This window comes from Homo sapiens, chromosome 2 (assembly GCF_000001405.40).
Source record: "Homo sapiens chromosome 2, GRCh38.p14 Primary Assembly".
Classification (NCBI taxonomy): Eukaryota; Metazoa; Chordata; class Mammalia; order Primates; family Hominidae; genus Homo; species Homo sapiens.
This window is the reverse complement of record NC_000002.12, coordinates 14,479,626-14,485,625: the sequence shown is the minus strand read 5'-3', so window position 1 is coordinate 14,485,625 and position 6,000 is coordinate 14,479,626.

Here is a 6,000-nt window from a genome sequence, read left to right as displayed (position 1 = left end):
GTTTTCTAAGGATAATGCCTTCCAGCTCCATCCATGTCCCTGCAACAACATGTTCTAATCCTTTTGTGTAGCTGCATAGTATTTCATGGTATATATGTACCACTTTTTCTTTATTCAGTCTATCATTGATGGGCATTTAGGTTGATTCCATGTCTTTGCTATTGTGAATAGTGCTGCAGTGAAATACACATGCATGTTTATTTCCAATAAAAATATTTATATTCCTTTGGGCATATATCCAGTAATAGGATTGCTGGGTTGAATGGTATTTCTGTCTTTAGGTCTTTGAGGCATCACAACACCTTCTTCCACAATGGTTGAACTAATTTACACTTCTACCAACAGTGTGTAAGCATTCCTTTTTATCCACAACCTCACCAGCATCTGTTATTTTTTTGACTTTTTAATAGCCATTCTGGCTACTGTGAGATGGTATTTCATTGTGGTTTTGATTTGCGTTTCCCTAATGATTCAGTGATGTTGAGTTTTTTTTTTTTTTCGCATGATTGTTGGATACATTTATGTCTTCTTTTAAAAACTGTCTGTCTATATCCTTTCCCCACTTTTTTATGGGGTCAGTTTTTTTATTGTAAATGTAAGTTCCTTATAAATGCTAGATATTACATCTTTGTCAGATGCACAGTTTGCAAACATTTTCTCCCATTCTATACGTTGTCCGTTTACTCTGTTGATAATTTCTTTTGCTGTGCAGGAGCTCTTTAGTTTAATTAGATCCCATTTGTCAATTTTTGCTTTTGTTGCAATTGCTTTTGGTGTCTTCTTCATGAAATCTTTGCCCAGGCCTAAGTCCTGAGTGGTATGGCCTAGATTATCTTTCAGGGTTTTTATAGTTCTGGCTTTCACATTTAAGTCTTTAATCCATCTTCAGTTAATTTTTGTATATGATATAAAGAAGGAGTTCAGTTTTAATCTTCTGCATGTGGTTAGTCAGTTCTTGCAGCACCATTTATTGAACAGGGAATTCTTTTCCCATTCCTTGTTTTTGTCAACTTTGTTGAAGGTCAGATAGTTGTAGGTATATATTCTTATTTCTGGATTCTCTGTTCTGTTCCATTAGTCTATATGGTCTTTGTTTTTTTGTTTTTTACCAGTACTATACTGTTTTGGTTACTGTAGCCCTGCAGTATAGTTTGGAGTCAGGTAGCATGATAACATTGAATCTATAAATTGCTTTGGATAGTATGGCCATTTTAACAATATTGATTCTTCCTATCCATGAGGATGCAATGTTTTTCCATTTGTTTGTGTCATCTCTGATTTCTTTGAGTAGTGGTTTGTAGTTCTCCTTATAGAGATCTTTCACCTCCCTAGTTAGCCATATTCCTAGGTATTTTATTCTTTTTGTGGCAATTGTGAATGGGAGTTTGTTCCTGATTTGGCTCTCAGCTTAACTGTTGTTGGTGTATAGGAAGTCTAGTGATTTTTGCATATTGGTTTTGTATCCTTAAAACACTTTTGAGCTAAGACTATGTGGTTTTCTGGATATAGAATTATGTCATCTGCAAACAGGAATAGTTTCACTTCCTATCTTCCTCTTTGGATGCCCTTTACTTCTTTGTCTTCCTTGATTGCCCTGGCCAGAATTTCCAATACTATGTAGAATAGGAGTGGTGAGAGAGGGCATCCTTGTCTTGTGCCGGGTTTTAAGGGGAATACTTCCAAGTTTGCCCATTCAGTAAGATGTTGGCTATAGGTTTGTCATATATGGTTCTTATTGTTTTGAGGTATTTCCCTTCAATACCTAGTTTATTGAGGTATTTCCCTTCAATACCTAGTTTATTGAGGGTTTTTAACATGAATGGGTGTGGAATTTTATCCAAAGGCTTTTCTGTGTCTATTGAGATAATCATGTGTTTTTTGTCTTTAGTTCTCTTTATGTGAGGAATCACATTTGTTGATTTGCATATGTTGAACCAACCTTGAATCCCAGGGACAAAACATAGTTGATCATGGTGGGTAAGCTTTTTGATGTGCTGCTGGATTCAGTTAGCCAGTATTTTGCTGAGGATTTTGGCACTGATGCTCATAAAAAATATTGGCCTGAAGTTTTCATTTTTTGTTGTGTATCTGCCAGATTTTACCATCAGAATGATGCTGGCCTCATAGAATGAGTTAGGGAGGGATCTCTCCTTTTTTTTTGGAATAGTTTCAGTAGGAATGGTATTAACTCTTCTTCACACATCTGGTAGAATTCAGTTGTGAATCTGTCTGGTCCTGGGCTTTTTTGGTTGGTAGGCTATTTATTACTGCTTCAATTTCAGAACTCATTATTGGTCTGTTCAGGGACTCAGTGTTTTCCTGGTTCAGTCTTGGGAGAAGGTACCCATTTCTTATTAATTTTGTAGTTTATGTACATGGAGATATTCATACTATTCTCTGATGGTTGTGTGTATTTCTGCCCGGTCAGTGGTAATATCCCCCTTGTAATTTCTGATTGTGTTTATTTGAATCTTCTCTCTTTTCTTCTTTATTAGTCTAGCTAGACGCTATCTATAGCACTAATTTTTTTGAAAAAAAAAAAACAATCTCCTGGATCTGTTGATATTTTGAATGGCTTTTTGTGTCTCTATCTCCTTCAGTTCAGCTCTGATTTTGTTTGTTTCTTGTCTTCTGCTGGCTTTTCTTTTAAAAACTGGATCAGCAAAGCTACCTAGTGGGGAGATCATGAGTATCTTAGAGACTGAATGTAAGCCAAATGCATTCCACAGTGCATGGCACACTGTGGGTTCTGACTGAATTGTAAATATCTCTAGATGAAACTGGAACCAAAGCATCACTTCTTAGGAAATCTCAGCTGCTTCCATGTGGTATCTCATCTTCTTACTTCCGTGCTGTCTTCTTTTCAGTTTTCTCTGTCTCTGTCATAAAATTTTTATTTCCCAGTTTTATTCTGTAACTTATTTATTTATTTATTTATTTTGAGACAGAGTCTCACTCAGTCTGTTGCCCAGGCTGGAGTGCAATGGCACAATCTCAGCTCACTGCAACCCCTTCCTCCCCAGTTCAAGCAATTCTTCTGCCTCAGCCTCCCGCGTTGCTGGGATTACAGGCTCATGCCACCATGTCTGGCTGATTTTTGTATTTTTGGTAGACATGGGGTTTCACCACGTTGGCCAGACTGGTTTCAAACTCCTGACCTCAAGTGATTCGCCCGCCTTGGCCTTCCAGCATGCTGAGATTACAGGTATGAACCACCACTCCCAGCCTTTATTCTGCTTATTCTTTGATTTGTGTCTTCCCCCCACTTTTTTTCTTTTCTTTCCCTCATTCCTCTATCTCTCTTTCCCTTTCTTCCTCTCTTTCTTCTTTGTCTTATTTTTTTTCCTTTTTTCTCACTTTTTATTCCATTGGACCCCCTGTATTCTTTAAGATAATTACTAGTGGATACTAAAATAATTTATCTTTTTATAATAATTAGGAGAAATAATCAAATGGATTATCAGAAAAGAGGCATATATTCCAATTTCCTTAAATCACTAGTGATTAGTAGGAGGTTTTTTTTTTTTCTTTTTTCTTTTTTTTTGTAAAGTGGAAATGTTTAGATCCTAAAAGGACTGATTGAGAGGTAGTATAAAGGGTGCCCATTTCCTTTCTCTGTTTCTCAGAACTGTTTCTACTTGCTCTCTATCTTAAAAGCTTATGAATCTGTATACCACTCCATGGGTTATACATTAAAGGATTTTTAGGTTGGAAGTGTGTATTCTCTTCCATACCATGTGCTTATTGCATTTGTGACCATTTTGTGGATATTATTAGCAGAGCCCAGGATGGGCATTTTCAAGAAACAAGATTAGTCCTATGAATGTCCTCATCTCACAGAGTATTAAATCTGAAAGGATTATTAGACTTCACCTTCTCCAACCTCTTACTTATTTATATTGGTAATACAAGCCTAGGTAGAAATGAAGACTTATGCATGGTCATACATATTTAGATTTCGATGGTGTTCAGTTTATTATTCTAGGCTTTTGTTTGCAGGTGACCAAAACACAACTTCAACAAGACTCTGCTAAGAAGTGCCTCTATTGGCTGTGAATTTCAAGGAAAGATTGAGCCACAGGTCCACGAAGGGTAGAGATGGAGCTAGTCCTCAGAATTAGGGATGGACCTGCTGCTAAATGTTTGTCTCCATCTCTCATTCCTGCTTCTTTCAGTGCACTCTGGTGTTTTCCATGGTCATCACTGCTTTTAAATATTGACCAGTTATGATTTTATTCCTGAAAAAGGTTACTTGATGTTCTAGGACAAACATTTAGAAGAACACCTTGGATCAAGTGCCAACCCTTGGATCAGTGAACTATGACTAGAGTGTGGGGTTTTGTAACAGCATAACAGGTTCCATGACAATGGTTGTAATAGAGGAGAGACAGTTCCCAGAAGTAGAAGCATGCTGCTTCTGGAGAATAAAGGGGATATTGGGCAGAGAAAACAATAGGTAATGTCTATGATTAGTGATAAGCTTTGGTGACTGTGATTGCATTGGTTGGCAGCAGATGGCAGTGATCAAAAGCTTACATATTTTGGTTGGCCCTATGAACTAAATGGTGCGGTGATTACACTCATTTATTTGTATATTAGTACTTATCTTGTGCTGTGAGGGTAATAAAAGTCAGTGTTCTTTCATTATATAGGTAGCTCAGGAGATTTTATCATTTAACCTGAAAGATTAAATAACACTAGTTTAGCATTGTGGTATCATTGCTAGATACACACACAAACATACACACATATACATCTATACCTGTATCTATAGTCACATCTATCTATCTATCATCTATCTATCTAATCTATCTATCTCCCTACATATCTGTTTATGAAATTAGACGAATAGAACTGTTTAGGGGTTCATATGTTCATGTTTCTGTAGTATGTTCATATGTAATATGTAGATCATAGTAGGGTTTCATGTGTTCATGCTTCCGTAGTATGTCCCATAAGGAATCTATGAGATTTCTCATTTTACTCCTCTTTGAAAATTACAAAATATATGCCTGGGTCTATTGTTTTAATTAAAGTATCTAGAAAGACAGTATAAGGTTTATTTTAAAAATCAGTGCCCAAATTGTAGCAGAAATTAAATATAGCTCACTAAATTATCTATATATGTGTAGACATGCATCCACATACAGATATAGACACATATAACTACAGGACTGCAATGTTTATTTGCCAATTTTAATCTCCACAGAGTAGTTATAAAATCATTGACAGATATTAACTAGGTTAGTGACTCTTGTGATCTTGATACTGCGTTTGTTTGCTTGTTTGCTTTTGATCGTTTATATATTATCTTTCTATTTGTTTCAGATCCCCACTGACCTACAATAAACTGGCTTCCTTATTCCAAGGCTCATATCATGATTGTAGGGAATGCAACATCTTTCTCCAAATGCCTAAAGTTGAGTTTCCCCCCTCATTTAAGACCTCTAATAGCTAAATGTGGATACTGAAGGTGGGAATGCTTCTTAACCCTGAATGAGAGTATATTTGTGTGCACATGCATTCATTGGAGTACAGAGAGGTGTCAGAAAAGTTTCCAAGAGTAAGTGACTTCCAACTTGAATAATACATAGAATTCAGCCAGATGAGGGAATTATGTTCCAGGCAGCAGAAACAATGCACTCAAAGGTTCTGGGCATCAAGGAACATGTCCAGTAAGTATAGGCAGTCACACATGTAGGCCTAAGCATCATGAGAGAAATCTTAGTTAGAGACAAATATTTTGAAGTCATCTGTATTTAGAAGGTAACCTAAGGTAAGGAGAGATGAAGAGTGCTTGGAAGGAAATTCTGATAATAGCTGAATTTGAAGGATAGCCAAGAAAAAGAGGAAATCCACAAAATTCTGATCTGGGGAAGCCTAAGGGAATGTCTATTTCCAGAAAAAAAGGACTTGTCAACAAGAGTCCATGTCACCAAGAGGTAAAAAGTCAAGATTGAGAAACTTCTTCAAATTTAGCGAGAAAGAGCTTGGTTATTT